This window comes from Homo sapiens, chromosome 6 (genome assembly GCF_000001405.40).
Source record: "Homo sapiens chromosome 6, GRCh38.p14 Primary Assembly".
Classification (NCBI taxonomy): domain Eukaryota; kingdom Metazoa; phylum Chordata; class Mammalia; order Primates; family Hominidae; genus Homo; species Homo sapiens.
The window spans coordinates 31,546,851-31,574,647 of record NC_000006.12 but is presented as its reverse complement, the minus strand read 5'-3'; the positions used below and the strand labels follow the sequence as shown (position 1 = coordinate 31,574,647).

The following is a 27,797-nucleotide window of genomic DNA, read 5'->3' as shown; positions in this document are numbered from 1 at the left end:
CTGTGGTCACATCTCCCCAGAGGTCTCCTGTAACCCATTCCTCAGAGCCGCTACATGTGGCCATATCTCCCAGGAGCTCCCTGACCCCCGCCCCTCCAGACCCTGACTTTTCCTTCATCTTCTCAGCTTCTCCTTTGCTTCCCCTGCAGCAGTCTGGCGGCCTCACCTGGTGAGTCCATCACATATCCCTGAAGCTCTCTGAGCCCTTATCCTTTTGTTCTCCCCACAGCTCTTGCTCCCTTTGAGCCCTCTGTCCCTCCCTCCATTCCTTAGATAGACTGGGAAGTTCTCACTCCCAGACACACACACACAAGCAGACAGCATTTCAGAGAAAAGAGGTTTATTGGGCTTCATCGAGGGTGCAGATGCCTCCGTGTGGGGCTCTGGTCGGCAGCTGGCTTTCAGAGCCTTTCCCTGCCTTCTGGGGCCCTGTGATCCCTCATGCCTACTTCTTTCTCTCTTGGTCAGCCTTGTGCGCATGCCCTCTCACTCTTCATCTCTTGGGCCTGTCTCTGTTTCTCCTTGGATGTTCTTCTATTATTCCCCTCTCTCCATCCTCCATAAATAAATAATTTAATTTTTTTGCCTTCATAAATAGTCCCCTCCCTGCCTCTAGTCATCCCCCAAGCTCCTCCATGTGCCTGCTCTTCCTCTGTGTGTGGATCTAGGCCCCACCTAGCTGGTGGGACAGACCAACAGCTTTGGGCTGGGAATTCCTAGGCAGGCTTGAAATCCTCAGCCAGACAGACATCAGGGATGGTTCAGGGAGGTGTGGTCCCCTGGGATGCCTAGAATTCCTTCTTTGAAAGCTCCGGTGACTTGATCAGGGAAGACTTGAGCTGTTGGAATGGCCAAAGGAGAGGTGGTGACGACCCCTGAAATGGTCAGAATGGAGGCAGAATGGGGAGAAGGTCTTGAAATCAATTATTTTTTCTTTCTGGATTTTTCCAAGTTCTACAGAGCGAAGGCTCCAAAGAAGACAGTACTAGGGCTGAGGACTAGGTGGGGGATGCCATCTGTGTGGGTGGATAGCTGGTCTCCCTGGGTGAGCTGGAACGCAGCCCCGTGGTACATCGAGTGCAGCCAGGGTTCCTGCAGCCCTGGATACACCATCTTCTGGGAGCTGAGGAGAGGCACATGGAAGGGGTACTGGGAGGAGAAGAGCTGGACCTCATGGGCCAGGTAGAGTGGGGAGGAGGTGGCCTTGGGAGAGTAGGCTTTCCCAGAGAAGACCACCTGGGAGTAGACGAAGTAGATGCCACTGGTGGGGACCAGGAGAGAATTGTTGCTCAAGGAGAAACCATCCTGGAGGAAGGCACGGTCCGTGTTTGCTCTCCAGAGCAGTGAGTTCTGCTTGCTGGGGTCTCCTAGGAAGAGCCATAGGGGATGGGGGTGGGAGATCAGGGGTCTGGATCAGAGGTCTCAATCCCTGAGGAAGTGGGCACTGAACAACTGAGTTCCTGGGGGATGGCAGGGGGAGGCATAGGAGTGGGCTCCCTCTGTTTTTTTTAGCGTGGGGGAAGTTGGGGGAGAGGGGTGGATGCTTGGGTTCCTGAGGCAGGGGTAGGAGGAGAGCTGGTGGGGACATGTCTGGGAGGTCAGGTGGATGTTTACCAATGAGGTGAGCAGCAGGTTTGAGGGTGCTGTGGGCAAGATGCATCTTGGGGTGCTGACGGGCAGTCTGGGCAGCTGAAGGTGTGAGGCCAACACCAGGGAGCCCCTAGGGGAGAACAGAGTTGAGGGGGGCTCTAGGGCTCAAGGTTTGGCTGAGCCACCCCAGCAGCCCCCATTCTCCTGCTGCCTCACCTGGGCCCCAGGCAGCAGAACCAGCAGCAGCCCCAGAAGGAGGAGGTGTAGGGTGGTGCCACACACCCTTGGGAGGAAGAGACGTTCAGGTGGTGTCATGGGGAGAACCTGCAGAGAAAGAGAGAGAGAGAGAGAGACAGTGAGCGGGGCGGGGCACGCGGCGGAAGACAGACCTCCCGCCCTGGGAGAGAGCACCCCCCGACCCCCGAGAGAGAGATCGACAGAGAAGGGGACAAGATGCAGTCAGAGAAACCCCAAGGTGAGCAGAGGGAGACAGAGAGAGACAGGAAGGGAACAGAGAGGAATCATGGCAGAAACAGAGAATGTGTGACAGAGACAATGAGACTGACAGATGGAGAGTCAGAGACAGAGAAGGAAACCAAAACCAAACCCACCAAGGCCCAGGCCCAGGCAGGCCGGGGATCCAGGCAGCAGGTGCAGGAGGGACCGAGGCCCAGGCAGAGGGCAGGACACTGCTGGGCGGTAGTCCAAAGCACGAAGCACGGGCAGCCCAAGGAGATGGGGCAGGAGAGCCTCACCTGCTGTGCGGAGCCCCTGGGCCCGGACGCTCAGGTCCCTTTATAGAGGAAGCGGCAGTGGCAGCGTGGCAGGCAGCGGGCGGGTTCTAGGTCGGGGCTGGGGCCCGGGGAAGCCCCCAGGGCTTAGAAGATACTGCTGTTTCAGTCAAAGGCAGGAAAGGCTGAGGCCTAGGAGAGAACCACAGGCTGGGGGTTCAGGCGACTGAGTTCTGGGAAAGGGAGTCGGGTCAGGGGAATCGTGGGCTGGGAGGGCCAGGGAGTGGGGTCAGGCCTAGAGTTCCAAAGAAGGGACAGTCAATTCAGAGAGGAGGTGGTTGAGCAGCTGGGGTGTGAGCTGGAGGCCCGGTTCCCTGAAGAGCAATCATATATAACATCTCTGCACCCTTGGCTGAGTACAGGCTTCTCTCTTTGCCCATTTCCTTCTCTTGTACCCCTGTCCTTGTCCCAAACAACTCAAATCATACTTGTCCCAGTATACGGACTTTCCAGCCCATCTGGCAGGTTTCACATCAAGAAGGTCCATTATATATCCCCTTCATCGGGGACATTCTGGTGTTTGCCTCTTGTCCAGGTGAAAATATTAATGGATCCCCCTTCCACTCTTGAAAGTGTCCTAGTTTGGAAGATAAATTTTTTGGTCCCCTTACTCAGAGATGATGCTGGACAGTCAAGTATGATGAGGTCTCATCTCACTCCTGAAGGATGCCCTCCATCTCTTCCTGACTTCAGGTGGCTTCCACAGAACAGATTTATATAACCCCAAATAAACACACATTCCAGGATCAATGTGGCAGACACCTTCCAAAGTTTTCTACAAAGGAAGTTTCAGAATTCCACATGGGTGAGGCTTAAGGGTGGTGACTTAGGGTGGGGTGGGGACAGCTAAGGGACTTGTTCTGAAGCTGCATTTGCAGAGCCAATACATTATTTTAAAATTGTTCCAGGCCTGGTGCAGTGGCTCACACCTGTAATCCTGGCACTTTGGGAGTCTGAGGTGGGCGGATTACTTGAGGTCAGGAGTTTGAGACCAGCTGGCCAACATGGTGAAACCCCATCTCTATAATAAATACAAAAATTAGCCAGGCGTGCTGGTGCGCATCTGCAGTCCCAGCTACTCGGGAGGCTGAGGCTGGAGAATTATTTGAACCTGGGAGGCGGAGGCTGCAGTGAGTCAAGATCGCACCACTGTATTCCAGCCTGGGGGACAGAGCAAGACTCTGTCTCAAAAAAAAAAAAAAAAAGTTTCCAAAATTTTTTTCCTTTTTATTGATATGTAACTTAGGTATGAGGTGGACACCTCTTAAGTGTACAGCTGATGAATTTTTCCATCTGTATGTAGCCACCACCCAGCTCCACGTATTTTCAGGTCCCCAGCAGGTTCCCTCATGCCCCCTCCCTGCTGATACCCTCCAAAGATAACCAACCACTCTCTCACTTTTATCACCATAGATTATTTCCTCCTGGTTTGGGGCATCATATAAATGAAATCACACAGAATGTACTCATTTCTGTTTGACTTCTTTCAGTCAGCATTATGTTTGTGAGATTCATATACGTGGTTGTATGTATCAGTAATGTTTTTAAAAAAAATTATGATGTAATATTCTATTGTATCAATATATTCTAATATATTCTGTTGATGGGGATTTGGTTTGTTTCTAGTTTTTGTCTAACACAAAAAATGTCTAACACGAACATTCTCATACATGAGCCCATTTTCACTTAGCTTGCAAGTTACAAGGTTTAAAAAAAGCAGTTTCTAAAGATGACTTTATTCACTTTTCCTAAGTTTGAGATAATACCAACTTGTCACCTCAAATATTATTACTGCTACTGATGTGATTTTACTTGGAGAGTGTTAGAGGGGTTGGAGCTGGGGCTGGTGGTGACCCGGGGTAAAGCCCACTGTTGCATGGGGCAGACCACTTCTCTCCCCAGGCACAAGGTCCCTGAGGGGTCTTGGTGTAACATGGAGGGACATGTAAGTAACATTCTGGGTGTGTATGAGCTATTTCTCCTGTTCTTCTCTACTTGAGGACCTGCCCCTTTGCCTTTTATGCTTTACTAGTCTTAGCTATTATTTCTGTAGGGGCAGAAAGGGGTGATCCCTTCCTGACCCATCATAAGGGTTATGGCCAATACTCCTATAATAAAAGACAGATTAACAAGAGAAAAGCATAATACATTTATTTAATCAAAGTTTTAGGTGACATGGGAGCCTTCAGAAATGAAGACCCAAGGACCCAGGGGAAAACTATTTTTATGCTTAGATTTGATGAAGAATGAACAGCTGTGCAGAAATGTAATTGAACAAAAGGAGTATCATCTAATGGTCACAGACTGGGACTGGGGGGATCCCAGCAAGGCCTGGCCATATTCTTCTTGGTCTCTCTGTACAGCATTCCTTCCTCCCAGGTATAGGGCAGAACCTCTTCTGGAATGAGGGTCTTATAACCTACTATCAGATGAGATAGGTCAGAAAATTTCTTTTCCTTTTTTTTTTTTTTTGAGACAGTTTCTCACTGTCGCACAGGCTGGAGTGCAGTGGCACGATCTTGGCTCACTGCAACCTCTGCCTCCCAGGTTCAAGCTATTCTCCTGCCTCAGCCTCCCGAGTAGCTGGGATTACAGGCACACGCCACCAAGCCCGCCAAATTTTTTTTTGTATTTTTAGTAGAGACGGGGTCTCACCATGTTGGCCAGGTTGGTCTTGAATTCCTGACCACAGGTGACCCACCAGCCTTGGCCTCCCAAAGTGCTGGGATTATGGGCGTGAGCCACTGCGCCCAACCTTCTTCTCATTCTTTTAACCTTATTATCTCTTGTGTCAGTGTGGGTTTCCCTTTTAGCCCCTGCTCCTTTCTTTTTCTCTGTGTTGCCCTTTCTCTCAGGGTCCTTTTTGCTTCCTGTTGTCTCTTTCTGCTTCTCTAATGGTATGAGCTGATGGACTGGGACCCCAGCTGAGCTATATTAAAATATAAAATGTTATTACAAGGCCAGGAGCAGTGGCACATGCCTGTCATCCCAGCACTTTGGGAGGCTGAGGCGAGCAGATCACAAGGTCAGGAGATAGAGACAATCCTGGCTAATACGGTGAAACTCCATCACTGCTAAAAATACAAAAAATTAGCCGAGCATGGTGGCACGCGCCTGTAATCCTAGCTACTAGGGAAGCTGAGGCAGGAGAACTGCTTGAACCCAGGAGGCGGAGGTTGCAGTGAGCCGAGATCGTGCCACTGCCCTCCAGCCTGGGCAACAAAGTGAGACTCCATTTCAAACAAACAAACCAAAAAACAAAACAAAACAAAACAAGCAAACAAAAAAAGGTATTGCAATTAACAGTGAGACACAGAGAGAAATTTAAATTAAAGAGGAAGAATGGGACATTGAAAGACAAAAAAGGGAAGGCAAGAAGGGTGATGGGGAGACATGAGAGACACAGAGGAAGGAAGGGTAAGACTGGGCTGAGGCTCAGTGTCACGTGCATGTGAGATATGCGAAGGATGCTCCTTGAGATGGGCCAATCTTGGTTTCAATCTCAGTTTCGGAGGTTGTATGAATTTGGTTTCTTTCTTGGGCAGGCCAGCAGTTGGTTTGGGACTTTCCCTGGGTGGGAGAGCTGATGACTGGAGTCTTGTGCCCCAGACTCAGGGAAATACAGTCTTTATAGTGGTCTTTGTGGAGAAACTAGTGAAATCTCTGAAGCCTCCAAATGAGACTGAAATGACATTAGCTTCAAACTTGAACTTAGCCTCAAAACCTGAATTGGGATTTAATACCAACATCAACCCTAACCCAAATTTAACCTCAACCCAAATCACAACTCAAACTCAACCCCAACTGTAACCCTAACCTTAAATCTAAACACATCCCAATTAATAACCCCCTAAATAAAACTTCTCCTCTACCCCAACCCAACCCTGTTTCTAGGGCTAATCTTGAAACCAGTTTACCACCACTCCTAACACTAAACTTAAATCTGACTCTAAATGTAAGTCCAATCTGAGCCACAAGCCTAAAGTTGAACTTTATCCTGCTTTATGAATTATTCATCCATTCCTCCATTTAGTGAGTATCTGCGTGCCTAACACATGCTGGGCATTGTCCTAAGGCAGGAGGGACATGGAGGCAAAGGGATCAGAGAAGGTACCAGCACCTGTGGAGCTTGTATTCCAGTGAGGCCAGACGGAAAAGAAAGAAACTGAAGAAGAAATTGGTACTATGAGAAAATAAGACAGGCTGATGTTGTAAGAGTGGCAGGGAGCTACTTTTAAATACAGTAGTCAGCAAAATCCTCTTTGAGTGTTTGGGTGGCACTGGAGCTGAGACCCAAATGACAAAAAATAGTGACCAGGTAAAAGTTTGGGAGCAAAGCATTTCAGGTAAAGGGAGCAGCTACTGCAAAGGCTGGAAGGCGGAACCAAGCTGGGGGTGTTGACGACAAACAGAAGGCCAGTGTGGCTGGAGCAGAGAGAGAGACTGGGAGGCGGGTGGGAGATGAGGTCAGAGAGGAGGGCAGGGGCCAGGTCATGCAGGGCCATGCAAGAAGGGTAAAGCCTCTAGATTTCATCCAGCCACAGGAAGCCTTTAAAGGTCGTCAGAGTGTGTGGTGCGTGCATGCGTGCGTGTGTGTGTGTGTGTGTGTGTGTGTGTGTGTTGCAGGGGAGAGAGGGGGAGGGAGAGAGAGAGAGAGAGAGAAAGAGGGAGGTGAGCAGAGGTGATTGGATTTTTTTTTCTTTTGACATGGTGTCTTGCTCTGTGGCCTAGGCTGGAGTGCAGTGGCACCATCATAGCCCACTGCAACCTCAAAACCATGGGCTCAAGTCATCCTTCCACCTCAGCTTCCCAAGTATCTAGGACTACAGGTGTGTGCCACTGTGCCTGGCTAATTTTAAAAAATATTTTAAAATTTTTGTTGAGACAGGGTCTATGCTGCTCAGGCTGGTCTCGAACTCCTGGTTTCAAGTGATCTGCCCATCTTGGCCTCCCAAAGTTTTTTTTTGTTTGTTTGAGAGGCGGTTTCGCTCGTTGCCCAGGCTGGAGTGCAATGACTGATCTCATCTCACTGCAACCTCTGCCTCCTGGGTTCAAGCGATTCTCCTGCTTCAGCCTCCCAAGTAGCTGGGATTACAGGTGCATGCCACCATTCCCGGCTAATTTTTTGTATTTAGTAGAGATGGGGTTTCACCATGTTAGTCAGGCTGATCTCAAACTCCTGACCTCAGGTGATCCGCCTGCCTCAGCCTCCCAAAGTTTTGGGATTACAGGTGTGAGCCACCATGCTGGGCCAGCCTCCCAAAGTTTTGGGATTACAGGCATGAGTCACCACACTGGCCCTGGATTTTTTTTCTTTCTTTTTTTTGGAGACGGAGTCTCACTCTGTTGCCCAGGCTGGAGTGCAATGGCGTAATCTCAGCTCACTGCAACCTCTGCTGCCCGGGTTCAAACGATTCTCCTGTCTTAGCCTCCTGAGTAGCTGGGATTATAGGTGCATGCCACCATGCCTGGCTAATTTTTGTACTTTTAGTAGAGAAAGTACACCATCTTGGCCAGGCTGGTCTCGAACTCCTGACCTCAGGTGATCCACTTGCGTCGGCCTCCCAAAGTGCTGGGATTACAGGCGTGAGACACCGCACCCAGCCTTTTTTTTTTTTTTTTTTCTTTTAAGACAGAATCGCTCTGTCACCCAGGCTGGAGTGCAGTGGCACAATCTCGGCTCACTGCAACCTCTGCCTCCCAGGTTTAAGCAATCCACCTATGTCAGTCTCCCAAGTAGCTGGGATTATAGGTGCATGTCACCATGCCTGGCTAATTTTTGTACTTTTAGTATAGAAAGTACACCATGTTGGCCAGGCTGGTCTTGAACTCCTGACTTCAAGTGATCCGCCTGCCTCAGCCTCCCGAAGTGCTGGAATTACAGACATGTGCCACTGCACCCGGCCTGGTTTTTTTTTTCTAAGAGATGGAGTCTCACTTTTCTGCCCAGGTTGGAGTGCAATGGCACCATCATAGCTCACTGCAGCCTTCAACTCTTGGCCTCAGGCAATCCTTGCACCTTAGCCTCGCAAAGTGTTGGGATTACAGGCATGAGCCACTGAGCCTTGCCTGGACTTTTTTTTTTTTTTGAGATGGCGTCTCGCTCTGTTGCCCAGGTTGGAGTGCTACGGCATGATCTTGGCTCACTGCAACTTCCACCTCCCAGGTTCAAGTGATTCTCTTGCCTCGGCCCCCCGAGTAGCTGGGATTACAGGCATGCGCCACCGTGCCTGGCTAATTTTGGTATTTTTAGTAGAGATAGGGTTTCATCATGTTGGGCAGGCTGGTCTTGAACTCCTGACCTCGTGATCCACCCACCTCGGCCTCCCAAAGTGCTGGGATTATAGGCATAGCCAACGCGCCCAGCCTGGACTTGTTTTTAAAAGATCACTGTGGCTCCTGTGTTTAGGCTGGCTGGTAGGAGACAGGTGGCAGTGGCATTGATGGTGAAGAGAAAATAGTGGCAGCCATGGAGATGGAGAGAAGTAGACAAGTTTGGGATATATTATACATTCCAGGGGTAGAAACAACAGGACTAGATGATGGATTGATGGGTGGGAGATGTAGATACTGGGAGAGAAGCAGGATTCTGATGGATGGAAAAACTAAAAAATTCTATTTTGGGTGTGGTAAGTCTAAGTCTATTAGACATGCAAGTAGAGATGCCACTGGGCAGATACACATCTGGATTTCAGGGGCAAGGTCCAAGCTAGAGAAAGAAACCTGGGCATGGTCAGCATGAGGATGGTGTTTAAAGCCATGGAACTTATCTTGTGCATCCCTATAAGACCCCTTTGAGGCACTTGTTTCCCCTCACAATGGATGCAGTGCATCTTCCATTCTGAATTCCAGAGGCAACAACCTCCTGCTCCTAGAAGCTAAACTCTCCAGACTTAGTCTTCTGAATTCCCACTGGGATTTAACCTCCCTGGATTCAATTCCCTACCCCACAAGGACCCTTCTACCAATCCATTTCACAATATTTGGTGGAACTCTTCACATTTTCAAATCCTGTCTTCTATGTTTGAAAGCATTTTCCTCTGGGCATTTTGAAACCTGGCTTTCCCCTAATGATGCTACTCCTCTCTGTGGTGAAGGTTGCTCTTTCTTCGACCTCCATCACTAGGGGAATGAAGGCAGAAGAGAGGGGTCGTTATTTTCTCTCCCCCAGACCACTGATAAACTCCTCCTCATCTCCCAAAGCACGTGCCTTTTGCATTTGCCATGCTTTTCCTGTCTTCACAGCACAATCTTATCCATCAAAATATTTATTATGCTCTTAACAACTTGTATAACTAGCTCAGTCTTTCTCCACATCTTATCCCTACCATCATCCTTGTTTGTTTGTTTTTTGAGACAAGGTATTGCTCTGTCACCCAGGCTGGAGTGCAGTGGCGTGATCTTGGCTCACTGCAGCCTCGACCTCCTGGGCTCAAGTGATCCTCCCACGTCAGCCTCCTGAGTAGCTAGGACTACAGGCGCATACCACCGTGCCCGGCTAAGTTTTGTATTTTTTTTTTTTTTCCAGAGATAGGGTTTTGCTATGTTGCCTAGGCTGGTCTTGAACTCCTGAGCTCAAGCAATCCACCCGCCTCAGCCTCCCAAAGTGCTGGGATTACAGGCATGACCCACCGCACCCGGCCTCCTACCACCATCTTTAGTGACTTTAAAAGCCACAAAGATCGGCTGGGCGCAGTGGCTCACACTTGTAATCCCAGCACTTTGGGAGGCTGAGGCGGGTGGATCACGAGGTCAGGAGATCGAGACCATCCTGGCTAACAAGGTGAAACCCCGTCTCTACTAAAAATACAAAAACAAAATTAGCTGGGCGTGGTGGTGGGTGCCTGTAGCCCCAGCTACTCGGAAGGCTGAGGCGAGAGAATGGCATTAACCCGGGAGGCGGATCTTGCAGTGAGCCCAGATCACACCACTGCACTCCAGCCTGGGTGACAGAGCGAGACTTCGTCTCAGAGGAAAAAAATAAAAATAAAAAAAGAAGCCACACAGATCAGATGAGTCTTACAGTCTGGCCTCTCAATTCTCCAAGTTTCTCAAGTCTACTGGTTTTACAGCCTCTTCTTCCCTCCTCCATTTTAGCCACCCAGGAGTAAGGTTGTACCTCAAACCCCAGCATCACTTGGAAGAATTATGCCTTCAAGATCTTGATCTCTGAATTACCCTTCTCATCACAACCACTCACTTTTCACATCTCCCACTCTCTGCCTCCCCTTGAATCAGTTCTTTATTCTTACCAAGACTTCCGGCTGCTTCTGCTTTCCTGGTTTTGCTTGTTGATTTAACATGTACTGCATGGTCAACAATTTCAACTCCACTTTGTCTGCATTTTAGAATCTCTTACCGCCGGGCACCGTAGCTCACACCTGTAATCCCAGCACTTTGGGAGGCCAAGGTGGGCGGATCACCTGAGGTCAGGAGTTCGAGACCAGCCCGGCCAATGTGGTGAAGCCCCATCTCTACTAAAAATACAAAAATTAGCTGGGCGTGATGGTGGGCAACTGTAATCCCAGCTACTCTGGAGGCTGAGGGAGGAGAATCGCTTGAACCCGGGAGGCAGAGGTTGCAGGGAACCAAGATTGAGCCATTGCACTCCAGCCTGGGCAACAAGAGTGAAACTCTGTCTCAAAAATTGACTTGGGTAAACTAAGTGGTCTCATTCTTGGGGCTTTGTCTTAGGCTGCCAAGCGCTGCAGTAGACAGCTGAGTCACCATAAGAGGCCTATAACTAATCCTGGCCAGCTAATCTCAGAGAGTCATCAGTGTTCTTGGACACAACTTTTACTCATTCTTTGTTGACTCCCCATTATACTACTGTGCGTGATGTTCTAAATCTCCGTGCCTCTGATGTTCTTCACTCTCATCTATTAATATTTCATTGAGCTTAAGGCCATCAAGTGTGGATCTCACTTCCCTCTTTTTCCTTAATTTTGTTATATTTAATCTTTCCTTACATACTGACTCACAGTACTTTTTCTTGTTTCCAAGACTGATCCTTTTATCTGTACTCTATCCCACTTCCTCTATCTTTACTATATTCTCTCCCCACTTCTTGCTTATGTTTTCACTATCTCTCCCTTTCTTGTTTGTTTTTGGGATAGGCTTGCTCTGTTGCCCAGGCTGGAGTGCAGTGGCGCGATCTCGGCTCACTGCAACCTCTACCTCTCGGGTTCAAGTGATTCTCCTGCCTCAGCCTCCTGAGTAGCTGGGGTTACAGGCGTGTGCCACCACGCCCAGCTAATTTTTGTATTTTTAGTAAAGACAGCATTTCACTATGTTGGCTAGGTTGGTTTTGAACTCCTGATATCTATAGTCTGCCCACCTCAGCCTCCCAAAGCGCTGGGATTACAAGGGTGAGCCACCGCACCTGGGCTTTTTTTTTTTTTTTTTTTGAGACTGAGTCTCGCTCTGTCACCCAGGCTGGAGTGCAGTGGTGTGATCTCGGCTCACTGCACCCTCTGCCTCCTGAGTTCAAGCGATTCTCCCACCTCAGTGAATAGCTGGGACCACAGGCATGTGCCACCACGCCTGGCTAATTTTTGTATCTTTCGTAGAGATGCGGTTTTGCCATGTTGGCCATACTAGTCTTGAACCCCTGGCCTCAAGTGATCTGCCCACCTTGGCCTCCCACAGTGCTGGGATTACAGGTGTGAGCCACTGCACCTGGCCTATCTTTGTCTCTTTAAGCATCTTCATTTTACCTTCAATTTTATTTCTTGAAAATAAACAACAAAAAAGATCCTTCCTTGGAATATTTCTCCCTCAAATGTCCAGTCTATCTCACCTTCCGTTTTCGTGTGATGTCTCAAAAGACTAGCCCCCTTAACGAACCACTTTTTCAGGAACTGGTAAAATTTCCCTCAACTGTAAAATCTGTGGGTAGAACTAAGAGATGATTCTCAGTTATTCTGTGTTCACCATTCTGACCTCATGCCCACCACCTCCTTTTCCTCACCTCCCACTCATTCCTCAACCTATGTAAAGTGATTTCTGCCCCTCTATTAAATGGAAACGGTTTTCTCAAAATTTGTAATCGTCTAGTTCCTGAACCCAACAATCTTTTCAACCCTCATTTACTAGACCTCTTTGAAGCCTCAAACATGGCTGCCCTGTCTCTGCTTGGCATCCCCCGCCCCCCGTGCCCTGCTTCTCTGACTGCTCCCCAACCTCTCCTTTATTGGTTCTCTTCCTTTGATCATGCTCAGGGCTCTTCTGGTCACTCCGCCCCCTCCCTTGAAGATCCTGTCCACTCAAAGGCTCAACCTCTACTGGGAAGGGAATGATGCCCAAATCTGTTCCTCCAGACCCAACTTCTCTTGAGCTCCAGACCTGCTTTCTGGAAATCTCCACCTGAGAGTCATGCTGGTACCTCAAACCTTCATTGAGCACTTTATTACCCTAAGCAGGCATACCTATACATTATAACTATAATGTATAGTTATTATTTGTATACTGTCTCATTAGACTGCAAGTTCTATGAAGGCAGTGACTTTATTATTTATACCTATTGTCAAGCAGTGCCCTGCTCCTAATAGGTGCTTAATAATTTTTTTTTTTTTTGGATACAGAGTCTTGCTCTGTCACCCAGACTGGAGAGCAGAGGCATGATCTCAGCTCACTGCAACCTCTGCCTCCCGGGTTCAAGTGATTCTTGTGCCTCAGACACCTGAGTAGCTGGGATTACAGGTGCCCAAGACCACACCCAGCTAGTTTTTATATTTTTAGTAGAGACGGGGTTTCACCATGTTGGCCAGGCTGGTCTCGAACTCCTGGCCTCAAGTGATCCTCCCAAAGTGCTCCCACCTTGGCCTCCCAAAGTGCTGTGATTACAGGAGTGAGGTGCCTGGCCACCACCACCCACCTTTTGGACAGACGTTGAGAGGATTTGTGGTGTTAGGAAAAGGGCTGGTTAACACACAGTAGGTATTAATTCACAAGATGATGGCCGTTTTCTTACTCCTTGTCTGTACTGCAGCACTCACCTGTTCTCCCTCTTTTTCATCGTCACCTGGACCACTGCCCACAGGATGCAGTCCAATCTCTGACCTTGACTTTCTGTGGTCCTTTCTTCATCACATGTTCCCTCACACCTGTGCTTCTTCTCCCTCAGGACGCTCCTTTCCCAGAACATACTGCATTTTCTGACTTGTCAGGCTCGCTCAAGACGTGTTATTCGCCTATGGAACCTTTCCATCCACCTCCACCTAGTGAACCCATTCATTAGAGCAAGTTCAAATGCTGTCTCCTCAGAGGCTCCCTGGATGCTTTCAAATGGACTTAATCTCCCCTCTTTCTGTAATCATCTTAAAGTTTACTCATCATGCCTTGAATCAGTTAACTAGGTATGGGTCTGCCTCCCCACTAGATTGTAAGCTTGAAGCAGGGTTTAAATTTATCTTTGGGCTACATAATGCTCAGTTGACCTACACTGAACAGAGTCCCTCCCAGATCCTTTTCCTAACTTAATCCAAACCTGCCCCAACCTGAGTCCTCAAACTGACCCTCTTCAATCTCATTATTCTTTTCCAGGCCTGTTCCTCCAATTGAATCCCAATGCATCCTCCACTGAGACTCAACTCCTGGTGCCAGCTCTAGAGAGCAGAGATACACTTCCACCTACCCACTGTTTCATGGCAGGCACTGAGTCACCCCTTGGGAATCCCTGGCCCCTGTCCCTGCCCCCACCATGCTGGACAGGATGCCTGCTGCCTGCCCCAAGGGGTCAGAGGAAGCCAGGGCCTCTAGGGCTCAGTATTTTTATCAGCCTAGGAAACAAGAGACACAGAAGCGGAAACCATGTGGTCAGAGAAAGTGAACAGCCCTTATCTCAGGGGAACCCCCACCAGGGCTGGGGGCCAGACACCAGGAAGGGACGTTGAAAAGACTGTGGTCCGGTGGGCCCAGGTTTCAGGGCTTATTTTGCTTTGGTTTTATGTAACTCTTGCAGAAGGGGAAATGATGTGCTTAAAAACCAGTGAGAAATCTCCTGGGTGGAGGAGCAAATTTGGTCACCAGAGTTTTCTGTAATTTACTTCTCAACCTCCAGCTTAGGGATCCTAACCCCAACTCCCCCCAAGGCCAAACCTGGACTCTTTGCATGCCACTTCCGAAAAGCTCCAGCCTGTGAGAGGAACCGGACGCCAGGGTCACACACAGCTTGAAGTCTCTTCTCTGAATCACAGCAGCTTCCTCTCACAGGATCTTTCTCACCAGCCCTTCCCCCTCCTGCACCCTGAACATCTGCCTGGTCCTTCAGAGGCCTTGGTCTCTTCCGAACTTCAGGCTGTCTTATTCAAGGATCTCATGCCCACCCATGTTCCCGTGTTCCCAGAGGCGTGCCCTCCCTGTCTTCTACTGCCTTCCACTTCCACTCCTGGGATTCTCCTGTAGAGAACTGGGCTCAAAACCTGAAAGATAAGTTTCTGATTGATAAGATGCTCTGGTGTAACTATGCAGACAGTGCACTCACCAGCACATGTCTGTACTCTCCTTGCAGCCCTGTCCTTTCTTTTTGCCAAGTTCCCAGTTGTGTCCTGGGCGATGGTAGTGGGGTCTACCTATCTTAGTTTCCAGGGAGCCCCCCTCTCTCCTCCGTGGGAATCCCAGACTCTCCCTCCACCTCTCAGGACTTCAACTACTGGTTCTTGGAAAAGGAAATGTTTATAGGGAAGGCCATGCCTGGGCTGCCCAGAGATGAACTCAGGTTTAGGATGGGGCAGCAGCTGAATGGCGGAGATGAGGATTGGGGCCCTGGAGGAAGAGAGATACAACTGACAAGCTAGAGGGCAGAGATGGATGGAGCCAGCAGCCTGGCTGGCTTTGGGTGTGGAGCTCCAGTTGCCCAAGAACAGACAACCCATGTTACATAATTTTGCTCTTTCCACCTCCTTCCCCTGCTCCTAATTTTAGCAACTGAAATTCCACTCCCCCACAGGGCTCTTCCTCCAGCCATTCTGCTTGTATTCCCCATCCTCCCCCAGCCTCCTCATGGCCCCCCAGCGCCGGCTACCCCCAACTCGCTCATTCAGTGACTCAGCAAAGGGAAAGCCCTGTGTTGGGGGAAGGGGGTGTTAAGTGGGGAGGAGGATGTGGTTCAGCTTGGGGAGCCAGGGAGGGGAGGGAAACTGGTTTTGTTCCCCTTTTTGCCTCTGTTCGCATCTATTTCTCCAGCCACAGATTGCAGGGTGGACAAGACCCCAGTGTAGGGAGTGGAGTGAGACTGGATGGCAAACTGGGCCTTCTTAGGGCTGAACTGAGGGGGCATGCAGAGGCTTCTTGCCTCCAGCTCAGAGCCCGTGTTAGCGTGTGCGTGTGTGTTGCAGGTGTGTGGGAGCTGTGGGTTTCAGCAGGCGGGGCGGGAAAGGAGATGTCATGGGTGATGAAAACCACAGCAATGGAAAAAGACAGAGGAGACACTGGGAGTGAGATGTGGAACCAGGTCTTATTAGGAAACGGCAGAGTCAAGGAGCAGTGGTGGCGGCCCGCACCCCCCACCCCCACTTGTTACAACTTTCGCTCCCACCCATATCCTCTGCTGAGCAGCACCTGGCTCTTCCTTGTGGTCCCCATCCTTTCCCTTACCCTTCCTTCTGCCTCATCCTGAGGCTGCAGCCCCGAAGTTTCTTGCTTCTTCCCTAGGGTCACTTGAGGGCCTCTGCATGGCGATTCAGGGCCTGAGAAAGGGCTGTCACTGCTCCCATCACACGGCCCAGCTCCCAGGTCTCAATCTGGCTTCGGAATCGCTGCAGGAAGCGGTCAGGGTGCCAGCGGACCTGCTGGACCCTCAAGTACCTCCTCAGAGCCCCCTGTTCCTCCAAAGGGGGGCCCCTGGCCACCAGGGCTGCAGCCATGGCCTCTGGGTCCCCTCCCCCAGGGCAGGGCCAGGGCACATCACCAAATCGCCAGAGGCTGCCCCTCCCCGCTCCTCTGGGGTGCTCTTCCCTGGGCCCGGCCCTGGTTGGCTTGGGTTCTCGGTCCCCTAGAGCCTCCTGCGCCCTCCTGGCTCGGCTCTCACGCAGCTCTTCCTCCTTGGCCCGGGCTCGCTCCCTGAAGAGCCGCTGCTCCTCCTCCTGCTGTCGCCAGCTCTGGCTGGAGCCCTCAGCACGTGGGGGTCGACGGGATCCCTCTGCTTCTCGCTGCTGCTGCTGGCACTTCTGGGCATGTTCCCGGGCCAGGCGATCTGACCAGGCTGAGAAGGACTCAGGTTCCTGGGTTTCATGGGAGGCATCACCTGTTTGGGAGGGTGGGATGGGGGTAGTTGGAGAGAGGCTGTGAGAAGGTGATGGGCCCCAAGAAGCAGGGAAGCACAGAGGAGGGGGCAGAGGAGCCTAGTGTGACGCATTCATGCAGATGGAAAGCAGCCAGTGGGGAAGGGCAGCTGTGGATAGCAGTGGACTTCTCACCTTCAAACCTCCCCATGACTTCCTGCCACTCGTCCTCCAGCTCACCCTGGAGCTTCTGTCTCCATTCCCGCTCCTTGGAGGCATCATCTTCTTCCTCCTCTTCAGCAGAATCCCAGGGGGGTCCCCAGCCCAAAATTTGGCCAGGGGTCTCCCCATCCTTATTCTTTATTCCCATGGCGGAGGGACAGCGGCTTAGCAGCGGGAGGAAGAAATCGGTGTAGGCTGTTGGTGGGAGAGCAGGGAGCAGAAGTTAGCTGGGACTCCCACTCCTCGGCAGAGCTGCCATCTTGAATCCTGCTGGTCACTCGCTCCCTTGGTCTTAAAGCAATGGAAGGGTGGCTCACATGGATGCCTCCTGGGTATTAGGAAATAACCATCACTGATAAATACAGACTGATAGTTTACCACATGCATGGTAAGTGTGGTAGTTTAAAATATTCTCGGCCAGGCGCGGTGGCTCACGCCTGTAATCCCAGCACTTTGGGAGTCCGAGGCGGGCGGATCACGAGGTCAGGAGATCAAGACCATCCTGGCTAACATGGTGAAATCCCATCTCTACTAAAAAATACAAAAAATTAGCCAGGCCTGGTGGCGGGCGCCTGCAGTCCCAGCTACTCGGCAGGCTGAGGCAGGAGAATGATGTGAACCCGGGAGGTGGAGCTTGTAGTAAGCCGAGATCGTGCCACTGCACTCCAGCCTAGGTGACAGAGCAAGACTCCGTCTCAAAAAAAAAAAAAAAAAAATTCTTACTTGTGTCTCCACAAACTATTTCAGCGTCCTAGAAGTTCTACCATGCCAACTGACATTTTCTGACCTGCCTCCAGCCACCAAGGCAGTGCCCAAATTCTTTGACTATGTATTCCACTTTTCACTTAAAAATATTGTCACTATATAAATCCCTTATTTTCTCACCTGAAACCATATATCAGACTGGGAAAATATCTGAATGCTCTACTCTGGGCCATTAATAAATACACAAATATGTAATACTTATCTTTTATTATCACTTATCAATAAACTGAGTAAAATAAATGTTTTCAGGGGAATTTCTCTCAGCCAGCCTTACCAGGGGATGATGGGAGAGGGGTGGGGAGGTGAACCGGCAACAACTATGGCCGGCGGCAGAGCAAGCTCTTTCCAAATGACTGCTGACCTAGGGCAGGGGAAAGGGAGTGGAGTGTGACAGAGGGTCTCACCCATGGGCTGAGAGAAAACAGGAGAGGAACCGACGTTCCTGAACTCCCCTTTTCTTCAGTCCCAACCTTGCTGCATCTGGCCCAAGGTTAGCTGAGTGCCATGCTACTTCCTTCACTGCCAACCCAGGCATCCTGGCCAGGCCCACCTGCTGTGGCCACCAACCACCTCTTTCACTTGGGGGATAGAAGAAGGGGAGGGAGGCAGCCTTCCTTCCTGTGGACCTACTTTCTTTCCCCGGGGTAAGAGGAAATGGGCTAGCAGTCCTTAAATCTTTATTTGGTAGTGCTGGAAAGTACTGTTTACCTGGCAGAAAGCTGGAATAGGGGAAGGCAAGGCCAGGAAGGCAAGAAGACAGAATGGCCCAGGTGTGGCTGGCGAAGGCCCACCATCCCTACCCAAATCACATCAGGGTTGGTGGGGGGGGGCACTTCTCCCTAGTGCTGCTGTGACCTGTCACAGACCCTCTCAACTTGTCCCACCCAGAAAGTACCTGGTCCTGTCTCTCATTCGCTTGTTCCCCACCTGAGCTCAGGTGGTGAGCATGGTGAGTGCTCAGGCTTGCATGGGAGGTTTACATTCATAGGTTTTAAGGAGTAGGGCCTCCAACTATAAAAACATAATATTAAACAGCCACTACAACTGAGGCATGTGTTTGAAAAAAGCTGGCTACAAAACTGTAGAGAGGATCAGATGTGGCCAGGCACGGTGGCTCACGCCTGTAATCCCAGCACTTTGGGAGGCTGGGGGGGGGGGACAATGGATCACAAGGTCAGGAGTTCAATACCAGCCTGGCCAAGATGGTGAAAACCCGTCTTTACTAAAACAAACAAACAAAATATATATATAATTATATTTTATATTATATATAAAATTAGCCAGGCGTGGTGGCTGACGCCTGTAATCCCAGCTACTTGGGAGGTTGAGGCAGAGAACTGCTTGAACCTGGGAGGCGGAGGTTGCAGTGAGCCGAGATCGCGCCTCTGCATTCCAGCCTGGGTGACAGGGTGAGACTCTATCTCAAAAAAAAAAAAAAAAAAAAAAAAGAGAGAGAGAGAGAGGATCAGATAATAACTGTCTAAAACAAGAGACCAAATCCTATGGTTGGAAAAAAAGAGGCCGGGCGTGGTGGCTCATGGCCTGTAATCCCAGCACTTTGGGAGGCTGAGGCGGGTGGATCACCTGAGGTCAGGAGTTCGAGACCAGCCTGGCCAACATGGTGAAATCCTGTCTCTACTAAAAATACAAAAATTAGCCAGGCGTGGTAGCATGTGCCTGTAATCCCAGCTACTTGGGAGGCTGAGTCAGGAGAATCACTTGAACCTGGAAGGCAGAGGTTGCAGTGAGCTGAGATCATGCCAGTGCACTCCAGCCTGGGCAACAGAGGGAGACTCCCATCTCAAAAAAAAAAAAAAAAAAAGAAAAAAAATAGACTGGCAAAAAATATGTAAAAATTCTAGCCTATGGGTGGTGGGGCTGTAGGTGGCTTTTCCCCCAATTTTATTTGACATTTTAATGTGAAAGGGATATAATTAAGTTGAAATTTTCTTTTTAAAGAAGGACGAACAAATTTGATAACTATTAACAGTGTACTGTGATCCCTTCCAGTCCCACCTTGGTGTACCTAAAAGCATACATATGACACATTTATTTGGAGATATGTAACCATACTACAAATATTGCTTGGCAACTTGCTTCTTTCATTTAACATCTCATTTATATTTTTCCACAGGAATATATACAGTCTACCTCATACTTTTTGACGACTTTATAATTAGTGTTCCACTGTGTGTACAAAACAAATCTCCTTACCCCAATATCGATAGACTTTGTTTCAAAAAATGTTCAGCCTCATGAGTATCTTACAGTCTTTCTGTGGGGGTAGATTTTCATAAGTGGAATTTCTGAGTCAAAGGACATGCGCAATTTGGTCAAACTGCTCTCAATAAGTTTGTGCCAATATACAAGTGTGCCTATGTCTTCCTTTACCAAAATTGAATATCATCAACCCTTTTAATTTTGCCAGTTGGATAGATTAAAAAATTATTTTATTAACAATGTTTTTTTCTTTTTCATGTCTTTTGGCTATTTGTATTTTTTGTGAATGAATTGCTCATATTCTTTATCCACTTTTTCTTTGGAAATTATATATATTGATATGAGGGTTCTATATACTGTATGTGTTATACATATTGCAAACATTTTCTTCTATCTATCTTTAAAAAAGCTTTTTTTTTCTTTTTGAGACAAGGTCTCACCCTGTTGCCCAGGCTGCAGTGCGGTGGCATGATCTTGCTCACTGCAAACTCTGCCCCACCTGGGCTCAAGCGATCCTCCCACCTCAGCCTCCTGAGTAACTGGGACTACAGGACGACAGCCACGTACCACCACGCCTGGCTAATTTTGTATTTTTTGTACAGACCAGGTCTCACTGTGTTGTTCAGGCTGGTCTTGAACTCCTGGCTCAAGTGATCTGCCTACCTTGGCATCCCAAAGTGTGGGATTACAGGTGTGAGCTATCGCACCCGGCCTAAAATTTTCATGTAGTTAAATCTATATCAATATATTATTTTCTGACTTTTTATTTCACTTCACTCTTAGGAAGGCTCTATTTTAAGATTATAAAACATTCTCTGCATTTTCTTCTACTACTTTAGATGTATACTCATTTTTATTTTTAGAAATTAAAAAACTCGGCCAGGCGCGGTGGCTCATGCCTGTAATCCCAGCACTCTGGGAGCCCAAGGTGGGTGGATCATGAGGTCAGGAGTTCAAGACCAGTCTGGCCAAGATGGTGAAACCCCGTCTCCACTAAAAATACAAAAATTAGCCTGACGTGGTGGCGGATGCCTGTAATCCCAGCTACTTGGGAGGCTGAGGCAGAGAACTGCTTGAACCCGGGAGGCAGAGGTTGCAGTGAGCCAAGATTGCGCGACTGGACTCCAGCCTGGGTGACAGAGTGAGACTCTGTCTCAACAACAACAAAAAAGAAATTAAAAAACTCTCAAAAATACAAAGTATAATACAATACACAACCCCATTCCTACCACAGGGTTTGTTAATGTACTGTCATGTTTGTAGTATAATTTATTTTAAGGAAATAAAATCATCACAGATAAAGGTAGTTTACCGTGATACCGCCTTCCAAGTTTCATTCCTCCCCAGGCCATCTGTCCCATGAATTTGGTGTGTACCTTCCTGTCATATTCAGGTATTTAATCTGCTGGAATTTACTTTTTGATTAGGTGTGAGGTGGGACTCTTGTTTTTCCCTAGATGAGCCAAATGTTCCAATATTATTTATAAAATAGTTCACCTGGTCAGGCACAGTGGCTCATGCCTGTAATCCCAGCACTTTGGGAAGCTGAGGTGGGTGGATCACCTCAGGTCAGGACAGGAGTTTAAGACCAGCCTGGCCAACACGGTGAAACCCCCATCTCTACAAAAATACAAAAATTAGCTGGGCATGATGGCAGGTGCCCAGCTACTCAGGAGGCTGAGGCAGGAGAATTGCTTGAACCCGGGAGGCGGAGGTTGTAGCAAGCTGAGATTGCGCCATTGCACTCCAGCCTGGGTGACACAGCGAGACTCTGTCTCGGAAAAAAAAAAAAAAAAAAGTTCACCTTTCTCCAGTATTAGAAATGCCCCCTTTAGGCCTGGCGCGGTGGCTCACGCCTCTAATCCCAGCATTTTGGGAGGCCGAGGCGGGCGGATCATGAGGTCAGGAGTTCGAGACCAGCCTGGCCAACACAGTGAAACCCTGTCTCTACTAAAAATACAAAAAATTAGCTGGGCGTGGTGGCGGGCGCCTGTAATCCCAGCTACTTGGGAGGCTGAGGCAGGAGAATGGCTTGAACCTGGGAAGCGGAGCTTGCAGTGAGCCGAGATCACACTACTGCACTCCAGCTTGGGCGACAGAATGAGACTCCATCCCCCACTTCGCCAAAAAAAAAAAAAAAAAAAAAAAAAAAGAAATGCCGCCTTTATAGCGATTTACCAGATCAACCGTTCTCAATGCTCTTTAATACGCTGGAGTTTCATACTAAGAAAAATAAACATAAAAACATTTTGGCCAGGCGCTGTGGCTCACGCCTGTAATCCCAACACTTTGGGAGGCTGAGGTGAGCAGATCACAAGGTCAAGAGATCGAGACCATCCTGGCTAACATGGTGAAACCCCGTGTCTACTAAAAATACAAAAAATTAGCCAGGCGTGGTGGCATACGCCTACAGTCCCTACGCCTATAGTCCCAGCTACTTGGGAGGCTGAGGCAGGAGAATCTCTTGAACCTGGGAGGTGGAGGTTGCAGTGAGCCGAGATTGTGCCACTGCACTCCAGCCTGGGCGACAGAATGAGACTCCTTTTCAAACAAAACAAAACAAAACAAAACAGAAAACAAAAACAAAACCAAAAGACATTCTGTGGGATGGGCACGGTGGCTCATGCCTATAATCCCAACATTTTGGGAGGCTGAGGTGGGTGGATCACTTGAGGTCAGGAGTTTGAGACCAGCCTGGCCAACATGTTGAAACCCCATCTCTACTAAAAACACAAAAATTAGGTCGGGCATGGTGGCTCATGCCTGTAATCCCAGCACTTTGGGAGGCCGAGGCAGGTGGATCATCTAAGGTCAGGAGTTCGAGAGCAGTCTGGCCAACATGGTGAAACCCCATCTCTATTAAAAATACAAAAGTTAGTCGGGCATGGTGGCAGGCTCCTGTAGTCCCGGCTACTCAGGAGGCTGAGGAAGGAGAATCACTTGAACCCAGGAGGCGGAGGTGGCAGTGAGTCAAGATACTGCCACTGCACTCCAGCCTGGGGAACAGAGGGAGACTCCGTCTCAAAAATAAATAAACAAATAAAAATTTAAAAATTAATAAATAAAAATAAAAAAATTAGCTGGGCATGGTGGTGTGTGCCTGTAATCTCAGCTACTTGGGAGGCTGAAGCAGGAGAATCGCTTGAACCCAGGAAGCAGAAGTTATAGTGAGCCGAGATCATGCCACTGCACTCCAGCCTGGGCGACAAAGCAAGACTCCGTCTCAAAAGGAAAAGAAAAAGGAAGCTGGAAGCTGAATGAGATGGGCCTTTCAACCAAGGAGTTAGAAGGCCATCTGGTGGCAGGGCTGGCAGAGGACCAGGAGTAAATAAGGCCAGAGAGGACACCAGGGTCTGGGAGTGAAGGCACTGAGCTTGGGTCCCCCTTTGGAAGACAATGACCTGAGAGCTGTGAGATTTCAGACAAGTTCCCGAACCTTTTGGGCCCTGCTTTCCTCATCTGTAAATGGGATAATATCAGTCTCACCAGCTTCTTAAAATTCAATACAATGGAGTTGGGTGTGGTGGCTCACGCCTCTAGTCCCGGCACTTTGGGAAGCCGAGGTGGGCAGACTGTTTGAACTCAGGAGATGCAGAACAGCCTGGATAACATAGCAAAACAGTCTCTACCAAAAATACAAACAATTAGCTGGGCATGGTGGTGTGTGCTTGTAGTCCCAGCTACTAGGGAGGCTGAGGTGGGAGGACTGCTTGAGCCCACGAGGTAGAGGCTGCAGTGAGCCATGATTGCACCACTGCACTCCAGGCTGGGAGACAGAATGAGACCCTGTCTCAAAACAAACAAGCAAACAAACAATAAAGGAAATCCCTACCACACTATCAGGGGCATTTTGGCTGAGCGCGGTGGCTCACGCCTGTAATCCCAGCACTTTGGGAGGCTAGGCTGGCAGGTCACCTGAGGTCGGGAGTTTGAGACCAGCCTGACCAACACGGAGAAACCGTCTCTACCAAAAATACAAAATTAGCCGGGCGTGATGGTGCATGCCTGTAATCCCAGCTACTTGGGAGGCTGAGGCAGGAGAATCTCTTGAACCCAGGAGGCAGAGGTTGAGGTGGGCTGAAATCGCGCCATTGCACTCTAGCCTGGGCAACAACAGGGAAACTCCATCTCAAAAAAACAAAACAAAACAAAAAACAAAACTCCCATTTTTGCGAGGCAAATTGGGCTCACAGAGGTAAGCTGCATGTCCCTGTTGATGGCAGAGCTGGGGTCTGGATGCAGGTCTGCTTCGGGGTAATCCGCTCTTTTGCCTTCCAGGGTCCTGCCTCTTACAATATGAGCTGTCAAGTTAGATGCCTGCACTCAGTAAACCTACTCTGTTTTAAGTAAAAACAACAAGAAACAAATCTGAATATGCTAGCCTATCTCAGGTACGTTAAAGGAAATTTTTAAATAGGGGGTTTTTTGACCATTTGGGGGAGTTTTGGGGGAGGGGCCTTCTGTCTATACTTGAGCTGGGGGATGTTAGGGTTGTTCATCTGGATCTAGAGGTTTTCCTGTAATGTTCTTACTCCAGAAGGAAATCTCTAGATGGGGAAAGAAGGTTTCAGCTTTTATTCTAGTAAGCAGGGCTCTACCTATAAAGAGCTGCTTCCACCACTCTTTTTTTTTTTTTTGAGACGGAGTCTTGCTGTGTTGCCCAGGTTGGAATGCAGTAGTGCAATCTCGGCTCACCACAACCTCTGTCTTCCGGGTTCAAGTGATTCTCCTGCCTCAGCCTCCCAAGTAGCTGAGACTACAGGTGTGTGCCACCATGCCTGGCTAATTTTTGTATTTTTAGTACAGATGGGGGTTTCACTATGTTGGTCAGGCTGGTCTCGAACTCCTGACCTCGTGATCTGACTGCCTTGGCCTCCCAAAGTGCTGGGATTACAGGCATGACCCACCGCACCTGGCCTCCACCACTATTATAATATCACCAGGTTCCCCATTTGAATCCTTCAGTGCCAAAGGTTTTGCAGAATTCAAATGTTTTTGGGACTTGATAGGGCTGACCTAAAAGTACACTCACTCTATATTAGGTAGCCCAGGAGGGCCTAGGCAGCCCAAGAACCAAACACATGAGTGTTTCTGCAGGGAAATGTATGAATATTGACATCAGTAGGATGAAAATAAATAATAGTCTTACTTTAGTTCAGATTAGGTTTCTGTCACCAAATGAATTTTGGTGGCAGCCTGATGAAAAATGTTGGTTCTCAGAGTGTTTTTGAGTTTAGAATTGTGGTTAAGGGAGTATGGACCTGTTGATAACAAAAACAGGAACAAGGCCAGGTGTGGTGGCTCACACCTGTAATCCCAGCACTTTGAGAGGCTGAGGTTGGTGGATCACCTGAGGTCAGGCATTCGAGATCAGCTTGTCCAACATGGCGAAAACCCATCTCTTCTAAAAATATAAAAATTAGCTGGGCGTGGTGGCATGCGCCTGTAATCCTAGCTACTTGGGAGGCTGACGCATGAGAATCACTTGAACCTGGGAGGTAGAGGTTGCAGTGAGCCAGGATCGCACCATTGCATTCCAGCCTGGGCAAGAAGAGTGAAACTTCATAAAAAACAAAAACAAAAACAAAAAACAGAGAAACAGGAACAACAATCGCCAGCATATACCAAGTGCTTATCGTGTGTGCCAGGTACTCTAATTATGTACTATGTCAGTTGATTCTCAAAACATATATGGCACAACATGGGTACTCTGAACATGGGCACAATCAATGTACAATGCTATAATGTATAACACAGGACAATGTAGCTGTTAAAAGCATGGACACTCTATCTAGTCCATCTGGGTTATAATCTCTGCTCTACCAGTGAATAACTGTAACTCTGGCAAATGACTTCTCTATGCCCTGTTTCCTCAGCTGGGAAATGGGGGATAATATCAGTACTCACCTCCTAAGATTGTTGTGAGGATTAAATGTGTTACTTTATAAGAAATGTCTGGCACATAGCAAAGGTTGTTATTATTTTAATTTTTACACATGGGCAAACTAAGCCTCAAGTAACCTGTCCAAGAATACGTAGCTATGAAGTGTGGAGCTGGGATTTGGAGCTGGGGTTTGAATCCAGGCAATCTAACTCCAGAGCCTACCTTCTATGCTACTTTTTGGCTACGAGCAAACAATCTGTCAAGAAACAAAGTAGCTACTAATCTAAACAGATGTGAAATTTGAAGACCAGTTGATCTTTGGGGAATGTTGGGTTCTTCAGACAATGGTAGCTCAGTAATGTAAAGGGACAAATGACAGCCACATGCCAACTTGGTTAACTCCTTCCCTAGGTCCTGATGACCAAATAACCAGCTTATTTCTCAACTATTGGTTGGCTTTCATTTCAGGTCTGGTCAGCTGCTTATGACCTTGTTCCCCACTGAGCAGACTCACCATCTGGGCCCTGGCGGGCAGCAGCATGCAGTGCCGTGTCCCCATGGCGGTCCTGGTGGGCAGGGTCAGCCCCGAGCCGAAGCAGCAGGCACAGGGCAGGGGCATCGTGGCGGGCACAGGCCCGGTGCAGTGGTGGGGGCTGCCCAGCATCTACATCGAGGCCTGGGTGTCGCTGGAGGAGGGCCTGGGCCCGGACCAGCCGTCCTGCAGACAAGTAACGACGAAAGCGACGTTCTCGGCGTTGGCGGCGGGAAGTGGAGGCCATGGAACTCTTGGGCTGGGGAAGGAAAAAAGGCAGCAGTCAGGACTTCAGCCTTGGCTGGTCCTTCTCCCTCCATCTCTGACATCCCCTGTTGTTTCTCCCTTTGGTTCCGTCTTTTTTTAATATCTTCAGCAAGAGATGAGGCCTAACCTAACCCTGATCCTTTATCAGATGATAGATTTGAAAAAAAATTTTTTTTGAGGGGGGTGATAGGATCAGAGGTTTAATTTTTTTAATGTAAAATTCGAGAAAAGGGTAAATAATTGGTTTAAGGCTCAGGAGCCCAGGTAAATTTTTAATTTTTAACAAAGAACTTTAAAAAAACCCAACAGGGCCGGATGGGGAAAATTTTTATCAGCAGAAATCTGAGTTTTAAAAAGTCACAGATAATCTCCAATAATGATCTAGAAATTGAATATCATGTACCCGGCAGACAGATGTGGAGGCTTCTTCCTCTGGAACCTGGGGGGAGGGGTTACTCATCAGACCTGCCCCCGCCCCCCCAAGTACCCCCAGAGCCGTAGGCCCAAGGCCTGTGTTTAAGAAGCTCGGAGACGGGAGGCGGGAAGGGCGGAGACACTCCAGGCTGGAGGAAATGGCGCAAGCAGAGACGCAGGTGGAGGACGGAAGTGAACTGTGAGGGGCGTTACCGGATGTCGTTCCGCCCCGACCGGGTAGTTCTTGGCCAGATCTCCCAGGGGAAACTAGGGAACTTAAATTAAAGGGGCCGTCTGAAACCAGAAGACTGGACTGGAGGCGAGGAAAAGGAGGCGAGGGGAGGGGAGGGAGAAAAGAGAGTTATTTGGAGGTTTTTTCCCGCCTCCTCTAACTTGGCAGAGAGAGGAGATGGTTCAGTGATGGACGAAAAGATGAGAAGACAGAGAAAATAGAGGAGATAAAGACAGGATAAAAATCACATTAAACATGGAAAACAAAAACAAAAACCACAGTGGGACAACAACAGGGACAGATCAAAAAAAAAGAAAAAATACAGACAAAAGACGGAAGAAGACTATCGTAGGATGGGGCAAGTGAGATGCAAAAATTTGGACTTGAGAAATATGTAGAAAAAGATGGAGATGTTAACAACGGGAGGCAGGGGAGGGGGCGGGATGGTGGAGAGAGAGAGAAAGGTAGAGAGTTAGTTTAGAATTAAGCCCAGAATGCTCTTTTCCCAACACAGGTTGCATGATGACATCCTTACCTTTTCACCGCATTCACAACCCTTTATGCTTCCTCTGTTACCACCAATCAAGTTCTCCTTCTCTCACCTCAGTACTCCCCCGTCTCCGCCCCTGCCTCATCCCTAGACCTTTCCGACTGGGAT

At 48.9% G+C, this 27,797-nt stretch overlaps 2 protein-coding genes and 1 long non-coding RNA gene across 8 annotated transcripts; 1 reads left to right on the top strand and 2 right to left on the bottom strand.

Annotated features, from left to right (window-relative positions):
- Nucleotides 324-14,038, bottom strand: LTA (lymphotoxin alpha). Of its 3 annotated transcripts, XM_047418773.1 has the most exons (6): nt 13,379-14,038; nt 2,993-3,156; nt 2,346-2,513; nt 1,807-1,914; nt 1,615-1,720; nt 324-1,367 (listed from the first exon to the last, which is right to left on the bottom strand). In XM_047418773.1, the coding sequence occupies exons 4-6, from the start codon at nt 1,903-1,905 to the stop codon at nt 955-957; spliced, it is 618 nt and encodes a 205-aa protein (XP_047274729.1). In that variant the 5' UTR covers nt 1,906-1,914; nt 2,346-2,513; nt 2,993-3,156; nt 13,379-14,038; the 3' UTR covers nt 324-954. The 3 variants fall into 3 exon arrangements, with proteins under 3 accessions (XP_047274729.1, NP_001153212.1, NP_000586.2); NM_001159740.2 differs by lacking the exons at nt 2,993-3,156; nt 13,379-14,038 and having other exon boundaries at nt 2,346-2,549; NM_000595.4 differs by lacking the exons at nt 2,993-3,156; nt 13,379-14,038 and having other exon boundaries at nt 2,202-2,359.
- LOC100287329 (uncharacterized) lies at nt 1,945-15,077 on the top strand. The gene is made up of 2 exons (NR_149045.1): nt 1,945-2,065; nt 13,926-15,077. It is a non-coding gene; the product is annotated as an uncharacterized LOC100287329 (long non-coding RNA).
- On the bottom strand, nt 15,819-27,797 carry NFKBIL1 (NFKB inhibitor like 1). 4 transcript variants are annotated; one of them, NM_001144962.2, is made up of 4 exons: nt 27,675-27,797; nt 26,209-26,485; nt 16,799-17,020; nt 15,819-16,626 (listed from the first exon to the last, which is right to left on the bottom strand). In NM_001144962.2, exons 2-4 carry the CDS (start codon nt 26,471-26,473, stop codon nt 16,037-16,039), a joined length of 1,077 nt encoding a protein of 358 aa, NP_001138434.1. In that variant the 5' UTR covers nt 26,474-26,485; nt 27,675-27,797; the 3' UTR covers nt 15,819-16,036. The 4 variants fall into 4 exon arrangements, with proteins under 4 accessions (NP_001138434.1, NP_001138435.1, NP_004998.3 ...); NM_001144963.2 differs by having other exon boundaries at nt 16,844-17,020; NM_005007.4 differs by lacking the exon at nt 27,675-27,797 and adding an exon at nt 26,897-27,040.